The sequence below is a fragment of the Homo sapiens genome, chromosome X (genome assembly GCF_000001405.40).
Source record: "Homo sapiens chromosome X, GRCh38.p14 Primary Assembly".
Lineage (NCBI taxonomy): Eukaryota > Metazoa > Chordata > Mammalia > Primates > Hominidae > Homo > Homo sapiens.
The window spans coordinates 27,873,141-27,894,315 of NC_000023.11; the positions used below are offsets into that span (position 1 = coordinate 27,873,141).

At 36.4% G+C, this 21,175-nt stretch overlaps 1 pseudogene, besides 2 other annotated features; it reads right to left on the minus strand.

The window, feature by feature from the left end:
- Positions 10,249–10,838: an enhancer, noted in NCBI's record as "NANOG hESC enhancer chrX:27901506-27902095 (GRCh37/hg19 assembly coordinates)". NCBI's record gives its function as "activates a minimal SCP1, AML or CMV promoter by ChIP-STARR-seq in naive H9 embryonic stem cells {active_cell/tissue: H9 hESC(naive)}" and the evidence as "EXISTENCE:reporter gene assay evidence [ECO:0000049][PMID:30033119]".
- Positions 11,423–11,924: an enhancer, noted in NCBI's record as "NANOG hESC enhancer chrX:27902680-27903181 (GRCh37/hg19 assembly coordinates)". NCBI's record gives its function as "activates a minimal SCP1, AML or CMV promoter by ChIP-STARR-seq in naive H9 embryonic stem cells {active_cell/tissue: H9 hESC(naive)}" and the evidence as "EXISTENCE:reporter gene assay evidence [ECO:0000049][PMID:30033119]".
- Positions 20,452–20,888, minus strand: ORC1P1 (ORC1 pseudogene 1; annotated as a pseudogene).

A 21,175-nucleotide genomic window follows, 5' to 3' on the forward strand; every position in this document is an offset into this window, starting at 1 on the left:
GCAAGCAACCATGAGAAACAATACAGGGAGATTTTGTGTATCCTTTACCCAGTTTCCCCCAATGGAAACATCTTGAAAACCATTAATGCTACCTATCAACCAGGATATTGACATTAATACAGTCAAGATATAGAACAACTTTGGGAGGCCGAGGTGGGCAAATCACCAGGTCAGGAGTTCGAAACCAGCCTGGCCAACATGGTGAAACCCTGTCTCTACCAAAGATACAAAAAATAGCTGGGCGTGGTGGCGGGTGCCTGTAATCCCAGCTACTCAGGAGGCTGAGGCAGGAGAATCGTTTGAACCCGGGAGGCGGAGGTTGCAGTGAGCCGAGATCGTGCCACTGCACTCCAGACTGGGCAACAGGGCAAGACTTCATCTCAAAAAAAAAAAAAAAAAAAAGATGTGGAACAATTCCATCACCATAAGAATCCTTCATGTTCATGCTGTCTTTATAACAACCATGCTCCTTTCCCTGTTTCCTGCAAACTATTTGTCTCATCTCCCTTTCTATAATTTTGTCATTTCAAAAATGTTATATAAATAGATTCATATAGTTTTTAACCTTTTGGATATTGGCTTTTGTCAATCAGCATAACTATCTGAAGATTCATTTACGTTGTTTTGTATATCAATACTTCATTCTTTTTTATTGCTGAATAGTAATTTCATGGTATGAATATAGCACACTTTGTTTAACCATTCACCCATTGAGGTATGTCTGGGTTGATCCTATTGGGGCTATTACAAATAAAGCTGCTATAAGCAACATATCAGTCTACAGGTTTGAGTGTGAACATGTTTTTATTTCTCTGGGATATATTTCTAAAAACGTAATTGCTGGGTTGTATAGTAATTGCTAATTTGGTTTTATTTAGAAAAAATACTCTCAAACTGTTTCCAGAATGACTGTGCCATTTTACATCTCCACCAGCAATGTATGAGTGATCTAGTTTCTCCACATCCTCACCAGCATTTGGTATTATCAAGACTTTTTATTTTAGTCATTCTAGTGGGTCTGTAGCATTGTGGTTTTAATTTGTATTTCCCTAATGTCTAAAATTTCTCTTCATGTCTTTTGTCCATTTTTCTGATCAGATCATTTTTTATTTTTTTGCTGTTGAGTTTTGAGAGTTCTTTACATATTCCAGATACTAGTTCTTTGTTGGATAGCTTGTCTCTTTATCCTCTTAACAGGATCTTTCACAGAGCAAAGTTTTAAATTTTTGTTAAGTCAAATTTATCACTCATATCCCTTTACTACCCTCACTTTTAAGGTATAATTTCTTTTTTTTTTTTTTGAGATGGAGTCTCGCTCTGTTGCCCAGGCTGGAGTGCAGTGGCATTATCTTGGCTCACTGCAAGCTCCGCCTCCTGGGTTCATGCCATTCTCCTGCCTCAGCCTCCCGAGCTGTATATTTTACTAGATTGATAATATTTAAGATGTTGATGCATCATTATCTACAGCAGGTTTTGTGATAAAATTGTATTTTACAAGCTGTTCTGTTTTATGGCTATGAATGGGTATATATATATCTCATTTTATTACAGTTCTATATCTTTCAGATATAGAAAGAGTAGCTGGGACTACAGGCGCCTGCCACCACGCCCAGCTAATTTTTTGTATTTTTAGTACAGATGGGGTTTCACCGTGTTAGCCAGGATGGTCTCGATCTCTTGACCTCATGATCCACCCGCATCGGCCTCCCAAAGTGCTGGGATTACAGGCGTGAGCCGCTGCTAAGTCTTTCCACTATAAACCTTAAAGATCATACAGAATGGTGTTAGAATTTTTGCTTCAACAATCCAAGATTATTTAGGAAATGATTTAAAAAGTTAGTTTCATCTATGCCTTTTTAACTCATTCTGTTGTTTTTTTCTTTCTGAAATTCAAAGCCTTTTTCTGTTATCATTTTTTTTCTGCTTTTAGAATTTTCCTTTTTTTTTTTTTCTTGAGACAGAGTCACACTATTGTCGACCCAGGCTGGAGTGCAATGGCATGATCTTGGCTCACTGCAACCTCCGCCTCTCGGGTTCCGGCAATTCTCCTGCCTCAGCCTCTCGAGTAGCTGGGATTATAGGTGCTTGCCACCACGCGTGGCTAATTTTTGTATTTTTTAGTAGAGATGGAGACTTCACCATGTTGGCTAGGCTGGTCTTGAACTTCTGATCTCAGGTGATCCACCCACCTCGGCCTCCCAGAGTGCTGGGATTACAAGCGTGAGCCACCGTGCCCAGCCTAGAATTTTCTTTAGACATTTTTTAAGGGTAGTTTTGCTGGCAACAAATTCTCTTAGTCTTCTTTCATCTAATAATATCTTTATTTTCCCTTTTACTTATTGAAAGACACTTTTTCTGGTTGTAGAATTCATGGTTGAAAGCTGTTTCGGTGTTTGAAAAATATTGTGCCGTTTCCTTCTGGTCCCCATGATTTCAGATGAGAAATCCACTGTAATTCAAAGTAGTATTCCCCTATAAGTAATATGTCATTTCTTTTTGTCTGCTTTGAAGATTTTCAAATTAAACTTTTATTAAAACGCATTAAGAAAAGGTTTCAGAAGCTTAGTTTTGATATGTCTTGGCATGGATTTCTTTGGGTTTATATTGAGAATTACTGAGCTTTTGAGTCTGTAAGTTCGTATCTTTTGCCAAATATGAAAAATTTTCAGCCATTTATTTCTTTGAAAGCTTTTTTGTCACAGTCTTTCTTCTCCTTCTTGAATTTTGGTGATATGAATGTTTGCTCATTTGTTATTGTCCCACGTGTCCCTGAGACTTGGTTCACTTTTTAAAAGTCAGTTTTGCCTTTGTTCTTTAAATTTGGTAAATTCTATTGAGCTGTTTTCATACAGAATGTTTACTAACAACTTTTTCAGATGAGTGGAGCGAAAATTCAACTCTCATTTTGGCGCTTCCAACACCTGCCTTATGAAACGGGAGCACTGATTTGCGCACCCTTGTTGCCTTTGAGTGGAGATGTAAGCTCATCTCTCAACTGGGCTTTACATCACCAAGAGAGGAGCTAAGCAGAGGGCTGAGTAACACCATTTCATTGCTGTGGGGTGGAAATTCAGCTCCCTGATGGTTCCAGCTGATACCAGGAAAGGGGATAATGGAGAGCAGAGTGTCAAGTGATCCTGCTTCCCACTGCCTCATTATGCCTCACTGATACTGGGTGGACGTGGAGGTAAATATCCTCACTAAGCCCCCATGATACCATGAATGGAGAGAAAGTAGAGTGCTCACTAGTCCTGTCTTGTACTGCTCTGTTCAGTCTTCATGTTAAATAGGGGTGGAGGTTCATCTTGCCACTGGCCCCTGCTAACACTATCCTGGCAGGGGAATAAAACTCCCATCTGTTTCCACCAAATGGGGATTATAGGAATAACCCCTTGCTTGGTCCCACTCTTAATACATCAGCACAGGGAAATTGGAGATTTGTTTTCTTCCATTAGTGGGCAAAGGAAGATCAGTTCTACCAACACTACCCTGACAGGTAAATCACAGCAGTTCTACCCACTTCCACTAGGCATGGGTATAATTTTAACTCTGCTTAGTCTCACCAACACCTCTGAGTGAGGGAATCAGAGCACAACCACTTGTTTCTGCAGGATGCGGGTAGAAGATCTCTTCCATGTTGGCTTCCCTGAAATCCCTAAAAGGAGATGTACAGTTTTCTCTTTGGTGTTCAGATGGAGTAGGGCTGGTATTGCCAAAAATGTTTTCTATCATTAGGTCTCACATTTCCAGTCCTTTGGCTAAGCAGTGCAGGTTTTTCTTGAAGATTTTTCTGTCTGTGCCTATTGGTGGTTCTGGGTTGGAGGCTCCTAGAAAGCCCATCTTGGATATATGGGAGGCAATAAGGAAACCCAGGGAACTTACCACAGTGTCGGTCCTCAAGTCCCAAGTTTCCTAAAAAGTCCACCTTCTTTTTTCCACCATTCAGAGTTGTCCTATGCTTCCTTGTTGTATGTTTACAGTTTGTTTTAGTTTTAAGAGGGGGGACCCAGAAGGAATGGGGCTACTCCATCTACGCTGGTGCTGTAAGACTCATCATATTGATTTTATATGTGATATTGTTTCGACATGTATCAATGGGTAGTATGTTGTATATATTATTTTGCCTTTTAAATTTTTCAGTCACATTTTAATAATTTATCGATGCTGATATTCATTTCCAGTAGCTGTATTCAGTGTATGAATTCACTACCATTTATTAATTTCTTCTATTATTATGGACATTTAGATTGTTTCAAAGTTTTTACTCTTGAAATAAATTGGCAATGAACATCTTTATACATATGTCCTTTAAATATGAGAAAGAGTTTCTCTGTAAGTGGAATTGCTGTAGCCAGGTTAAGACATTTTCAATAGCCAGCCATTGCCAAAAAGTATTTTGATGATTAAAGTAATTGCATTGATGTGTGTATTCATTAACAATCTATAAATCTTCTTAACCAATACTAGGCCTTTCACACTCTCTAGTTTTTTTCCAAAACTTCAGAAAGGAATAAAGTGGTATCTAGTTGTGTTAATTTACATTTTCCAATTTTCCATTGTGGTCTCTGTAATTTCTACACCTGAGATAATAATTGTAAATTTTTTGCCTCCTTACCTTTGTATCAGCCATTCTAACTTTTGTGTAAATGTGTAATTTCTCTATAATAGAAATGCATAGGGTGGATTTTTTTCTGGTTGTTACTGATATATTTGTCTTTTGTTTTCTAAATTTTCATATAGTGCCTCATTCTTGCTCTACATATGTGATGTGGCTCTGTGTTTTTCCATTATTACAGAAAAAATATTTCATTTCTTTTGTTTTTCTCTGGTACATCATATGCCATCTATTTTTTTTTTTTTAGACGGAGTCTCGCTCTGTTGCCCAGACTGGAGTGCAGTGGCGTGATTTCGGCTCAATGCAACCTCCGCCTCCCGGGTTCAAGCGATTCTCCTGCCTCAGCCGCCCGAGTAGCTGGGACTACAGGCACGAGCCACCATGCCCCACTAATTTTTGTATTTTTTAGTAGAGGCAGAGTTTCACCTTGTTGGCCATGCTGGTCTCAAACTCCTGACCCCAAATGATCCACCCACCTCGGCCTCCCAAAGTGCTGGGATTACAGGCATGAGACCGCGCCCAGCCATGCCATCTATTTTTAAATCAATAGCACACAAACAAAAAATAGCAAATTTTTAGGGATATACGAATAAAATTATTTTGAGAAGAATTTACTAGATATCATTCCTATTGTCACTAAAATGATGTATGGCTAATATGTGTCATAACACTGTATTTCACTGTATAGCCTTATGCATAGCCTTAAGAATATTGGAAACTGAGAAGACTCGATCCACCTTGCATGGATCTACTAAGTTTAAAGCATATTAGATTTTTTATTTAAGAAAAATCTGCCAAATACTTCTATAAAGCAATTCATCTTTGAAATCTACCTTCTCCTTATTTCTCTTCTCTTTGTTTATTTTTATGTCTTCTTTTTCTTCACCTTCACCTTCTCCTCCTTCTTCTTACATGTTCCTTATCAATTATGCCTATACGAAAAGGGAGGCACCTGTAACCTTGGGAGATATACATATCTGTAATTTTTGAGGATATTAGCCTAGCAAGAAAGGCTCCTCTCAATATTACTTGGTTACAGAGCTTGTTTACTAGGGAGCGGACAAATAAATGTGCTTAAGAGCCAATGTACAACCTAAGAGGAAAAGGCAACATCCCATTGGAAGTCAAATATTATTAGAAACCCAGTGATATTCTGCGATGTTTATGGAGAATATCTATTGGCACAAAAGGCCACCAAGCACAAGGTTATATGTGCCATGAACAAACAAGTAAAAAAGTTGCAGACCTAGACTCTATATTGGGAGAAGGGCTATTCAACTCAAGAAGCAAGAGTTAGGTTCTTGCTGACATCAGCATTTGAGGACATAAAGTTTTATGTAATTCCAAGTGCCAGAAGCAGGTCACCTTTGCTTCATAAACTTTAAGTAAAGCAATGCATATGATGTATCTGTATTGTCTCTGACATAAAGTGGATATTCAGTAAAAGTTAGATATTTATCCTATAATTACTCCTCCACCCACACCAGGAAAAAAAAGATTTTCTGTCATTTGTTTGGTTAGAATGTGCAGATTTTAGATTTCTATTTGTTGCAAAGTTCAAACTCCCAGTTGATTGACTTCTTCCCCATCTTTAAGAAGTCTTCTAGCCATTATAATAAAAGCTTTTCTATAAAACTGCATTAATTCAAGTAACTTCATACCTTACAGTTATTTTCTGTCTTCCCAACATATGAAATTACTTTCCAAGGCTGGCCAGCATTTATTAATGCAAATATTTGGTGTCTTCCAATAACAATGAAGTAAAAGTTTTCGTAATTATATCAATCCTAGAATTTGGGTATTGTATTCCATTGTAGATGTACTTCATTTAATTTAAATTATCGCATTATCAAAATATTTATGTTAATATTTTTAAATTCACGTAACAGTAAATAAATGTTAAACTCTGTGGGAAATCCTTTGTTTTTTTATTTTGTTTATTAACAGACTCAATCTACGTGTGCATCATAGTAGTACACTTAATCAAGGCAGTCAAACTTTTTAAATCCAAATAAATGGAGAAGATAACTAAGTCAACTCTTTTGCTCACTTATTCTCCAGTCATTTCAAAAAATATCCATAGAAACCAAATGCCACAGACTAGGCAGTTTATAAATGACAGAAATTTATTTCTCACAGCTCTGAAAGCTGGGAAGTTCAAGATCAAGGTGCTAGTAGATTTGATGTCTGGTGAAGGCTTACTTTCTGCTTCCAATGTAGCTCCTTGTTGCTGCATCCTCTGGAGTGGATGAATGCTGTCTTCACATAGCAGAAGGGACAGAAGGGCAAAAAAGGACAAACTTTCTCTCTCAATCCCGATTATACAGACGCTACTCACTTCCATGATGGTGGAGCCCTCATGGCCTAATCACCTCCTAAAGGCTCCATCTCTTAATGCTGTTGCATTGGGGATTAAGTTTCAACATGAATTTTGGAGGAACAGAAACATTCATACCATAGGCCCTGCTTTATATATGATACCAATTTTATAAATGAAAAATATAGTGCTATTTTTGAAATGATAGCTATAAACTTATTTTCCACATTTTCTTAAAAGTAGCCCACTTTTTCAAGGTTCAAAACACGTATTTTATTTCAAATATCATGTTTTACCACTGTGTAACAATTTCATCTATAATGCACAATTCCTAGCCTACTGCCCCAAAACTTGAGTTCTTGATTTTATTTAAACTAATCACATTTTTTCACAAACCCTTTTCCATCTCCAAAAATATGCATTCTTGTTTTTAATTTCAAAGCATCACAATTTTCAAAATGACATTCTTCAACTCAAGTCAAAACCTTCTTTTAGCTTAAGTTATGTGTATTTTCCTTTCTCATATTTTGTTTTGGATATAGGGGAACAACTAACTTCAAATCTGAAATGTATTTATGAATATCTGCAGAATTAAATATCTTTTGAATATAATTGTGGCCTGTTTTATACTGCTTTCTTAACAATCACCTGCAAATGAAGGGCATTTGATAATTGTTTAATTGAATTATATTCTCCTTATTATCATATGTAGCCCTATATCTAAGGTGAGTCCCAACAAACCATAGAAGCATTTGCTACGCTCTGTGGGAATTAGTACAGTGAGATGTGTGCTTAAGTCATTAGTAAACACATGCTGATTTGTTTCCAAAAAAAAAAGTTTAAAATGTTGTGTTAAAAACTACCAAAGGTATCATATATTTCAGATGAAAAATAAAAATAAGACACTAGCACACTGATAAATGGTAGTTCGTGCAATCAATTCCGATTTAGTAGACTGTAGTTGAAATTTTCAGATAAGTGAGAAATATCTTACTGAAAATGAAAATGTACTATGTACTACAAGAAAGCATGGGTAGTTATTATACTGTCGTAGGCCTTCATTACGAATATAACTATAAGTTATTGCAGCCCAGACTACATTGGTGAGCTTGTAAAGAAATAATTATCTAGTTGTATTCACAATGCTACAAACACTCACAACATTTCATTTTATTCTCAATGCTAAATCAAAGATGAAGGACCTGCATAGGGTTTGCTTTATGCAATTAGATAAGAAAATTCATGCTAAGGGAGCATAATTGCCAAAGATTACACAGCTTGAGCATGCCAGATCAGACTAGAACACACATATTCTGGGTTGAGAGCCTCTTCTTTTTAAGGCTGCATATGATTGTTCTAGAATTTTTATATCCAGGTCTATGCCCATAGATGATATCTTCCTCACCCTCCTAGCTGCTGCCATACACATGGACTCTTCACTTGTACTGAGCTAATTTGCTTTCATTTCAGGTTGTAAATGTGACGCTGACCCTAGACAGATTTAGAAGAGATTTTTATTTCTATTCTTGTCTCACAGGGGTGAGATTTAAGAAGGCTGTTTAAATACTTGTTAAATTAAATGTGCCAAAGTAATATGAAATTAGAAACTCTATAAATGGATGGTAATTCCAAGTAATCAAACACATTAGGAAATTCAGACCAGGTCATTTTGCAAAGTCAAAAGTGTAAAAAAAGTATCTAAATTTAAAATTTAGTGTTTTCTTATGTCTGTAATGGAATTAGTTCTCCACTTCCCTTTTTCCTGCAGTATTTTCTTTCCAACTGTGACTACACCATCATATATTCAGATATCTGGCCCAGGGGACATGTCAACAAGCTTCCTTAACTGAGCCAGGTAATTTTGGAGAAAGAGTCCCTGAAGAAGGGCCAGAATTCTACCAAGAATAATCAGACTTAAAGGTAGTGGTCCAGTGGAAGCTCCTTAAAGCCCCATGGGACATTTGGTAATATCTGAAGACATTTTTGGTTACCATAACTGAATGATAGGTGCTTCTGTCATCTCAGTGGTAGAATCCAGGGATGCTGCTAGGCTAGGCATTTTTTAATGCACAGGCTCCCTCCATACACACCCTGAAGAATTATCCTACCCCAAAAGTCAATAGTGCTAATATTGGGAAACACTGATCTATATGGGTATGTATCTCATTTTCTACTATGATAGTGTTGTAGAGAGCTTTGCATAGTTAACATTCTAGCAAGTTCTAACTTACTGACAAAGAGAAAGATCTATGATATATATCTAGTGCATTGTCTAGTATAGTAGTCACTAGCCCACTTGTGGTTGTATTTATTTATTTATTTATTTATTTATTTATTTTTGAGATGGAGTTTCACTCTTGTTGCCCAGGCTGGAGTGCAATGGCGCGATCTCGGTTAACTGCAACCTCCGCCTCCCGGGCTCAAGCGATTCTCCTGCCTCAGCCTCCCGAGTAGCTGGGATTACAGGCATGTGCCACCACGCCTGGCTGATTTTGTTTTTTTCAGTAGAGACGGGGTTTCTCCGTGTTGGTCAGACTGGTTTCGAACTCCTGATCTCAGGTGATCTGCCCACCTCGGCCTCCCAAAGTGCTGGGATTACAGGCATAAGCCACTGCACCTGGCCTGCGGTTATTACATTTAAATTAAAATTATTCCTGAATAAAGTTGAAAATTTAGTTCCCTAGTAACACTAGCCAGATTTTGAGTGCTCAATAGCTACATGTGGCTAGGGATTACTGTATTTCAATATTTCCATCATTAGAAAAAGTCCTGTTGCACAGTGCTAATCCAGAGACTCCACACATTAACAAAATGAAAGTGAAATATTGTTGACACAGTGATATCTCATATGTGTGGGGGAGATGATGTAAGAAAGCTTATCTACTTTTATAATGATCACTCATGCACCCACAAAAAAATATCTAGAGTAGAGAAATTGAGCAAGATAACAGAAAATAAAATTAAAATTTCTTGAGAATGACAGAGGCCAAACTAGAATTTAAACTGTATACAATTTAATATGCATGCATAATGTTCTATTTCCCTCTTAATCAATGAATTAGAATAATAGTTAAGCAGTTGGCTTTCTCTTCTGAGTGTCAAAAGCTGCTATGGTTCCACTCCACAAAATCTTCGTTGGGATATATATCTTTTTTCAAAGCTCTGATTGTGTAGACCTTGCTGGGTTTTCCAAGAATGGACTTTAATAATAAAGTCTATGTTGTAATTTCTCTGTACAAAAAGCATAGCACCTCTTTTGATATGTTTAGTGTAATGTCGATTATGGTCCCTGGTATAGGTGCAATAACTGATCTTATTTTACATAACATTAAAGAGGAACAGCTTTTCTTTTATACTGTAAAAGAAAAATTAGACCAGACCAATTAAACGGGGAAGGAAAAATTTATTCAAGACTATTGCAATAGGAAAGGGAGATTGAACTCAACAAAAGGCAAGAGGATTTTAAATGCTAAAGAGAGCTAATAGAAAAGTAAGATAGAATGGGGGAGGTGTGTCTGTATGATTAGGCTATCTGTGTTTGCTAATTGGCACTTATCTAAGTTAGGTTCTTACTCTCCCACAGAGTCTGGGAGACCAAGGCTCTGTCTTTCTGGATGATTACATTTCAAAGGGATGGCTCACAGGTTCTTGAGGAAGATATCCCTAGTTTGTAAAAGATTTACATCTCAAAGAGCCAGAGAAAGGAATTTACAATTGAAAGTTTTCTAAAGAAAATTATCTAAGAAAATAAGGACGGGGCCTGTAGTCAGGAAGAAACCTGTCTCATATTTAATCAAGCTGAAGGGAACATTAGGGCCGTCTTGGTTAATGCACAGTGAACTATGTCATTTTGAAACTTAACTGCTGAGAATAGTAATTTCTGATTTGAATTTCAGTCAGAAAAATAAATATTCCATTCAGCAATATCTTGTACTCCCCTTTTGTAACCAAATTACACAATTACACATTTTATCACCCTAACTGAGGCTTAAATTAGTGCTTTTTTTTTTCGGTTATCAACTTCAAGAAACTCAATAGTGATGAATGGAAAAAAGAAGGAGTGGAAAGTAGTAAGGACAATTGCACCTAATTACCAACTCCAAATTGTTACAAGAAGATTCATTCATTTTCAGATTTTCTAACAGTAACTTCTCAGTGCATAGCAATGGTATAGTGAATCATATTTGAAGACAAAGTCTCAATTTCAGGAGTTCACAGGGTGGAAGAGGTGAGTTCATAGGCAATTTGGTCATCTCAAAGACAATTTGCATGGGGCATACATGCAGGATCTCCTTGTCTCTAAATAATATTTTCATTTCAACCTCATATGCTACTCTTCCCTTACACCCAACAGTGTGAGTTCTAACTTCTCTTCAGAATAAGGCAAATCTCCCAGTTTCATTTGTTCATAACACTCTGTATTTTAAAGCATCGCTCACAACTGCAACTATTTAAATATTTGCATAACTGTTTATTTTTAAATGACCTGTCCTAGTTGTTTGTGAACTCCACAGTGCATAAATGCTCATAGCTGACTTCTCCATTGCTGTGTCTCTATGACACAGGAGTTAAGAAGAAATTACTTAGGCAGATAGTGAGGGTATGGAAGTCCTCAGTAAAGTTTTTATTTTAATGAAAAGCAGCCCGAAATCATTTTCCTTTCTAACAAAGAGCAGCCTGTAAAACAAGCTGCTGACATAGATGCTGACAGTTATGCTAATCATGATCAAGATGGCGGCTCTAACGTCCCTTCTCTTTGTCAGTCAGGTATACAGTAAGGAGCAGACAAGACGGCGCTGGCCAAGGGGAAAGTTCATTTGCATATTAAGATTAGGGTGGGGCAGCCAGCCTTCCCAGAGCACTATGTAAACTTCATACCTGATGCCCTATGTAAATTAAACACCCCCTTCTCAAACCTGACTATAAAATAGGGCCCATCTGCCACAGGCCATCTCAGAAGTCCCCTCTCTCTCACTAGAGAGGGCTGTTTTCCTTTCTCTTTCTTTCTCTTTCTTTTGCCTATTAAACCTCCACTCCTAAACTCATGTGTGTCCATCTCGTACATTTTCTTGGTGCAAGATGAGGAACCCCAGGTATCCAGACAAGGGTAGCCACTTCATTTAGTCTAGCACCTGACCAAGAGTAAATATTAAATAATTATTTAAAACATATTGACACTGTGTAATAAACTTTTTGGTTTTGAGAAACTGACAGGTAAATTCCTTTTACTCCTCATGATGTTTCTTTAAAAAATTTTCCAAAATGCAATCTGTTTACTAAAAACAATATAAGTATTCAAAACAATCCACAATTGAGCATTTTGTAAGCTATGACCATGGATTTTTATCCATATGTTTTATGTCATAACATATATGTAATTAAATTTCAAGATGAAGATAAACTCAATCCCCCATTTACTTCGAAATGAAACATTTTATAGATAAAAGTAACATAATCTAAATGTACCACATCCGTTTTAAAGAACATTTAAAAATATTTGGCCAGTAGGGTTGGTGTGTATTTCCATTGATAATGGGAAGAAACAACTTCTGGATTTTTAAAAAAAAGGTATAATAATGAAAACAAGAGCTAGAAATGAGACATAAGAAAAAATGAGACTGTGTAACTAAAATGTATTGTATGACTAATATACTTAGACACTCTATATAATGTATTTAATAAAGTAAAAAAAAATTGATTAAGATTTACCCTGAGAAGCGTAGCTAGCAAATATTAATGAAAACCAAGAGAATGGAAAATGACAGTTTGAACCTTATCCGTAAAACCTTACCCTACCCTTTAAGTTTGAATTGGATGATTTTCGTAGCTGAGGTTCTTCAGGTATTTAGTAAACTTAAACTGACTGCTTCTTATTTATTTTCACACTCATAGAAGCTGCTCTTTGGAACTTCAACACTATGTAATGTTTATCATCATCATGGTTACATTTTCAAATAGTTTACTACCAGCCAACATTTGTTTATAATAAGGATTCAAAAAAATAATGATGATATACAGAATAAATAATATTTTACATTTACTCTTTTGTCTCACCAGTTGGCATAATGTAGTAATATAATGTTCAAATCTGCATCAGATCTTATAATCCCATGTAATTTGGCTGTAAATATTTTGGAGTTACTCAAACTTTTTTGAAAACGGGATTTCAAGTTTAATTTTGTGTATTTAATTTTAATATAAAATGAGAAGATTTTGACCAAAATTTTTTTCCTGAAAAGTCTTTTATGAAAATTGTTTAGGAACAATCTATTTGTCATACAGAAAATATTGGCCTCCCAAGCTATTTTAGATGATCAAATACTCTTTCATTTTTTTATTTTTCGAAAAAACTCTATTTCAAAAATGAAACATCATGAAAATGTTTATTAAAATTTCTGTTAGCATTGTAGATATTAAAAATCTGAAGGTTATTCAAGATAAGCAAAAAGAGAGTTAATTCATTAGTAAGTTCAAAACATTAGGCCAGGCACAGTGGCTCACGCCTGTAATCCCATCACTTTGAGAGGCCAAGGCGGTCGGATCACTTGAGGTCAGGAGTTCGAGACCAGCCTGGCCAACACGGTGAAACCCTGTCTCTACTAAAAATACAAAAATTATCAGGGCGTGATGGTGCATGCCTGTAATCCCAGCTACTGCAGAGGCTGAGGCAGGAGAATCACTTGAGCTGGGGAGGTGGAGGTTGCAGTGCACGAAGGTCGTTCCACTGCACTCCAGCCTGGGCGACAGAGCGAGACTCCGTCTCAAAACAAAACAAAACAAGAAACATTATTGAGTGACTACTATATGTTGGGTACATCATTTGCATTCAAGAAATCAGAGGTTTGATAAAATAATTGTAAGGCAATTTAAATTATACAGGATTTATTGTTGTATTTCTTTCTTTTTAAAAAATATAGTTTCAGTGAGTACATGTGCAAGTTTGTTACATGAGTATATTGCATAATGATGGGGTTTGGGCTTCTAGTGAACCTTTCACTCAAAAGGTAAACGCAGTGCCCAATAGGCAGTTTTTCAACCCTTGCCTCCTTCTCACCTTCCCCACTTTTAGAGTCCCCAGTGTCTATTGTTTCCATCTTTATGTCCATGTGTACCCACTGATTAGCTCCCATTTATAATTGAGTACTTGACACATTTGGTTTTCTGTTCCTGAGTTACTTCTCTTAGGATAATGGCCTCCTGTTCCATCCATGTTGCTGCAAAACATATTATTTTGTTCTTTTTAATGTCTGCATAGTATTCCATGGTGTATATATGCCACATTTTCTTTATCCAACCTACCATTGATGGACACTTAGGTTGATTCCATGGCTTTGCTATTGTAAATAGTCCTTTGATTAATATATGCATGCAGGTGTCTTTTTGATAAAATGATTTGTTTTCCTTTGAGTAGATACCACCCAGTATCTACTGGGTGCATCATATGGTAGTCTTATTTTTAATTCTTTGAGAAATCTGCATATGTTTTCCACAGAGGTTGAACTAATTTACATTACCGCCCACAGTGTATTAGCTTTCCCTTTTCTTTGCATCCATGTAAATATTTGTTATTTTTTGACTTTTTAGTAATAGCTATTCTGACTGGTGTGAAATAGTGTCTTATTGTGGTTTTGATTTATTTCTCTAATTATCAGTGATGTTGAGCATTTTTTCATGTTTGTTGGCCACTTGTATGTTTTCTTCTTTCCAGAAGCATCTGTTCAAGTCCTCTGCCCAATTTTTTTTTTTTTTTTTTTTTTGCCCAGGCTGAAATGCAGTGGCATGATCTCCGCCCACTGCAAGCTCCGCCTCCCGAGTTCACGCCATTCTTCTGCCTCAGCCTCCCGAGTAGCTGGGACTACAGGCACCCGCCACCACGCCCGGCTAATTTTTTGCATTTTTTAGTAGAGACGGGGTTTCACCGTGTTAGCCAGGATGGTCTCAATCTCCTGACCTCGTGATCTGCCCACTTCGGTCTCCCAACTCTGCCCAATTTTTAATGGGGTTGTTTTTTGCTTATTGGTTTAAGTTCTTTATTCTTTCTGAAAAGTCCTACTTTTGCTTAAATAATGTTTCCATTATTATAGGATACTGTAGTATATGTTGAGGTTATTGTTTCTAAAACAAAAACTGAATGCTTAATGTTCTGTTCTTAATAAATTATATAATATATTTTAACTTTTAGAGAAAACCACAATATTATTGTATTAACCAACCCCTCTCCCAAGTACATGAGTGCCATCTCACTCTCTTGCTTTCACTCTTGCTCTCATTCTCTCTTACTCTGTAATTCTGGATGAAATATGAATATACTACCTTAACAGCCCATATCCAAATGGCTAGGATATTTAACCAACTTCCAAAAGCTTTGCTTTTGTATTTTCTTACCTTTTCCTATTATCACTTACATCCCTATGATTATATTTGCTTACAATACACAATGTAGTGTCTGTCTTGTTATGCAGGGCCCAACAAAGTACCTCTTAAGGGCCAAATCCAGCCCACCACCTGTTTTTCTAAATAAAGTTTTATTGGAACATAGCCATTCCCATTTATTTGCCTATTATCTATGGCTGATTTTATTTTACAACAACAGAGTTGAATAGCTGTGACAAAGATTATATGGCCAGTGAAGTCTAAAATATTTGCTATCTGGCCCTTTGCCCCAAAAGTTTGCTGTCTCCTATTTATTGTTGGAAATGAAGCAAGTGTTGAATATATACCCATATCTTAATTAAATTAATAGAGGGATAGATGGATGGATGACAAGGGGTAGAGAGATGTGGCTTTATGTAAGAGAATACCACTTCATTTCATTTAGGGTGTTCAGATCCAAATCGATTTCTGGAGTACAAGAGAATTTTATTTTGGTTAGAGGGAAAGGAGGATGTATCTCTTCAAATAAATAATAAATATTGGGACAAGATGCTGAGGTGAAAAGAACTAAAAGATTTAGTTATTGACTTTTGTAAAAACCATTTAATTTCAAATCAGAAGAGCGGACTAATTTCTGATTGCCTCCAGTTCTGAAAAAAAAACCTGAATGCTCAATAAGATCATGAAGTGTGGTAGAGTTCACTATTACATAACTTAAAAAAATTTATACCCTAATATGTTCCTTAACTTGAGGTGATTTCATTGCTACTTTTTCCTTCACTGTGGAAATGTTAATTAGTAAAAACTGAAAATGCACAGCATTAATGAAGGTTTTTTCCTAAAAGTTGATACCAAATTTTGAAAGTAGAACTTTGAATACTTAGGGAATTTTTGATTATCAGAATTTCCTGTCCTGTCCTGTTTTGATATCAGAACAGTCCTTTGAAATCTGGATAAGTGGGATATGTAAGACCTGGCTTGAGTAAGAATTTTGATGGAAATTGTGCAGCAGAAATCCAGAGACAGTTTTTTTGTTTTTTGCTTTTTTTGGTTTTTGTTTTTGTTTCGGGGTTTTTTTGTTTCGTTTTGTTTTTGTTTTTGTTTTTTTTGGTATGTGAAGCTTAATTTCTTGGATTCGTTAAATAAATAGATTCTGGACTGTAGAATCTTCAGAGAAGTGTTTGGGGACCAGAAATTTCCATGGTTGGTAGGAATATATTTTCTTTGGTCATCTCTGAAGCAATCTTGATGATGGGCAAATGTACTACATAATAAGACTGTCAACCTTGATGTTTAAATTTCACTGCTTTTGTGGATTTAAAGTAGCTTTATAATTTTATAATATATCTAGTATAAAAACAGAATGTATAATTGGACTCTTCAAAATATAGAAATGACATTTATGTCTCATTTCCACTCTCAGAATTTATTTTATTTTTTTCATTTAAATTATCTGTGTCATGCCATTTTCCATTTTTATCTGCTTTTTAATTTTATTTATACTTGTCTATGATGATAGAAAAATGCATAATAACGGCTGTGGTTGGCAATAAATAGGCCGTGAGACTGCATATTTTGTAACAGTGGAGGCTTGGGACATGAAACAAAAGCCCTGAGTGTTCAACTTTCCCTCTGTCTGGCTGCAGGGGACTGCTGTATTACCTCCTGAATAAAAGAAGACCTGGCTACAGAGCTGTGAGGACTAGAAAAATCTCTCTTTGCAAGCACTGTCCAATTTGCAAGTTAAAGTATAATAAAGCTGGACAATAAATTTAATAGGCAAACCTACCTGCCATGAAAAGCATTACTGATTTTCAATCAAGAGACCAGAGAAAAGTAATAGTTAGGAAGATTCTGATTTTAGAAATCAGCATTTTGAATACAAATGTTTAACACTGGGAAGAAAATAACTTTATATAAGGTCTGTATCAAACTATCTGACATATCTAGACATAAGGTATTTGTGGGACAAAAAGCAAAATATCAGTCCATTGTTAGAGTCTCCTCTATCCTCCCCCAAATGGTAGAATCTAAGAATGAGAAAAGACCACACAAATGAGAGAAAAGAGACTCTAATTTCAAAAATAGCCTACAAAAGAATTCCTTCCTTTGATTTTATCAGTCTTTCTTCTTTATTTCCTTCCTTCCTTTTCTCTTCATTTGACGATGTATGCATTCAATAAGCATTAAGTAGCAATTATAATTTATTGTGATAAACACTGGAGATGAAATACAAATAATAAAACAATATAGTAAATGACATAATAAAAATGTGTACATAATATTATCGCATGCCTGGGAGAAGCATATAATATCATTTAAGATGAGGAATTCAGCATGGAAATAACCCATGTACTGAGTCATGGTATGAGTCAGCATTGGCTGTAGGAATGCTGACAGGAAAGAGATGAGGTAGAGATTGGGAAGAGGATATTCTTGATCATTAGTGCATTATAATAAAAGTCTTTGTAAAGCAAAATTATATAGTGTATGAAGAAAACAATGGCCACTCTGGGTTATTGAAGTCTAAAATAGGTAATGACCAGTAACAGGGACAAAAAAGGAAGTTGGGCCAAATCATATGATAATTTAAAATTTTTGGAACTATTCTATGAGAAATTATGACCCATGGAAGCGTTTTAAGCGATGAATTATTTGCAATATTGCTTTATTGCTTTTAAAATAGATCATGTTGGTGGCTTTTTGCAAGGTGGGTTTACACAGGTCGAGTGAGAGGGAACATTAATTATTGATTGCTCACCCAACAAGCATACTTAGGATGTTGTTGTAATACTGAAGAGTTAGATTAAAACCTGAAATTAAAAAGTTATGTAGACGAATAGAAGTGAGCTCATTTTACAAATATTTAGAGGGTGAAATGGCAGCATATTACAACAAATGAGATGTCAGAGTTGAGAGAAAAAGAGATCTGAAGATGAGCCTCATTTTCTTTTCCAATCCAGATGCCTTTTATTTCTTTTTCTTGTCTAATTACTCTAGCTAGGAGTTCCAGTACTATGTTGAATAGAAGTGGCGAGAGCAGGTACCCTTGCTTTGTTTGTGATTTTACAGGAAATCCTATCAGTTTTTCGCCATCAAATATGATGTTAGCTGTGGTCTTTCATATATGGCCTTTATCATGTTGAGGTAATTTTTCTTCTGCTTCTACATTTTTGAGAATTTTTAAACATGAGTTTTGAATTTTGTCAGACAATATGATAGTGGTGATTATTTAACAATATATTTATGTAGCAAAACAGAATTGTACACCTTAAACATACACATTTTTTATTTGTCATTCATATGTCAGTAAAGCTGAAAAAAAGATAAGCCTCAGGTATCTAGCTGGAATAATTGGGTGGATGGTGGTATAACTAAACAAGATGTAAAATAATCCAGAAGGAAAAAAATTTGATTGAGGAAAGGTTAGTGCAGTGTTCTTATGTGCTACAGTGAAAGTGCCTGCAGACAGCTGGACTTAGTGTGTAGCTCCAGGAGAGATCTGTGTAGCCTAATGGTCAGGGTAAAACCATGACAGTGAATGGACCCATTGCATGCAGTGCAGTGTGTGAATGGTAAACAACTAAATATTTTCAACATTCAACAGATATTTCCAGAGTTGAGAAAGTAGTGAGTGAAGAATGGAAAATCATATTAGAGAAAGAGGTCCAAAGAAGTAGATCATTGAAGTGAAGAAACAAAACATTTGTAGTCATATGTCCTCAATCCAGGCTAGCTCTGTGTCATGTTCTGCCTACTTTTAAACCAAAACCTGGCTGACCAAGGTGGAAGGTCCACTGTTCATTTCATTTCTATTTATTTTCTCACTGTCATCTTCAATTTAAATATTTGCTATACCCCGATGTGTGTGTGTGTGTGTGTGTGTGTGTGTGTGTGTGTGTGTGTGTGTTTTATTATTCTAGAAAATTAACCTTTGGGCCAGGCGCGGTGGCTCACACCTGTAAATCCAGCACTTTGCGAGGCCAAGGCGGGCAGATCACCTGAGGTCAGAAGTTCGAGACCATCCTGGCCAACATGGCAAAACCCCGTCTCTACTAAAAATACAAAAATTAGCCGGGTGTGGTGACGTGCGCCTGTAATCCCAGCTACCCAGGAGGCTGAGGCAGGGGAATCTCTGGAACCTGGGGGGCAGAGACTGCAGTGAACCGAGATTGCGCTATTGCACTCCAGCCTGGGCAACAGAACAAGACTCCGTCTCAAAAAAAAAAAAAAGGAAAAATTAACCTTTGATTTGCTTAGCTTTTTGTAATCATATAAATATGCTGGCAGACTCATTGTAAGATTATTTTGTTGTTGTTTAGTTGACTTCACCATATGTTTTGCCAGGCACTGTGGTAGATGTTGAAGAAATAAAAAAATAAGAGAATGTTTATCCAATGTCTCTGGGATTTATAATCTGGGTAATAAGATATACTTAAGAATTATTATCATTTGCCATACGAATTAGAGTGATATAGGTGGAAAAAATGTTATATAATAGGATTCCAGTATTTTCAGCTTCTTTCCTTTTTCCAGTTTTAGAAATGATAAAACTGAAGCCCAGAAAACTGATCTTGACTTTCCCAACATAATGATACTAGTTAGTGTTTAAATATATAGTTTTCAGGTGAACAAACGGATGCTTTGGGATTGAGATTTAGGAGATGGCCTCGCGATTAACTATGCTCCAAAGAAGTACATGCTGTCATAGAGAGGTAACTATATTTAATTGCTTCTTCTTTTAAAAGCACATTATTTAATGGAGCATTCAAAATACATGACATATAGATTTCCATTCAGTATATTTTGCTACAATAATTCCATGCATTTGATAAAAGACGTCAAGCTCTTTTAAAACAGAAAGTCATAGTTCTTCCTTTCAAAGCCCTTCACTGCTTATTTTAGGATATACAGCATATCATTCTGGCTGATGCTGAGTTGCACACAAAGAAACAGATTGTTCTTAATAAGTTCCACGAGTAGAAGGGACAGGAAACCAAGCATGAACACACAGTCACGGTCTCTGACATGGTAGGGTGCAGCAGTCCCTTTATTTTTCATAGAGCCATGTGCTTATTGTATACCTTTTGAAATGTTGCTGCTTCCAGTCCTGATCTGCAGAACACTGTTAGGATAGTTCTCAGGGAGAACTGAGGAAATTTTTACGGCGGTGATGTATGCAAATGAAAATATCTGATCCACAGCGTTGATAAAGTTGGCTACAGTGACCAAGCCAGAGGAGTTAGGCTTCTGCTGGGAACACTCATAGATCTCTGTGGCATGCCTGTAAATATCCACATAGCCATCATGGATCTCCAGAGAGGGCTACTACCTTGAGGCACCATCCTCAAAAGCCTTTAAATGTTTGAGTCAGGACACTGAACTATGCTGCAGTTTGGCTGTTGTGTACAGCACTGGAAGGACATCCTTGTAAGACCCAGTAGACTAGACACCTGGTTCATCATAATTTGTTCTAATAGGTCCACTGTGTTATGAATGGTGAGGATCACAAGTGGGACATCCTTGTGATTGGGCCAATCAAAGAGATTGTACATTATGTTTTGTTTTTAGTCCACAGAAGGTTGAACTGCTCACAAGCCGTACAATAGTCTCCAGAGACAGTTTCCAAGTTATGTTACAGTAGCTTTATTATGGATTGCATGTGTTGGCCTTTGTACATTGTAATGGGAAGCTTCTCCAGAGCAAGCTTCCTGAACTTTGGCACTATTAACATTTGGGGATGGATAATTATTTGTTGCTGGCAATACTGTCCTGCACACTGTAGCATATTCAGCATTGTCCTCGGCCTCTGCCTACTAGGTACCAGTAGCAACCTCTATCACCATTTCATACATCATTCTGACAACCAA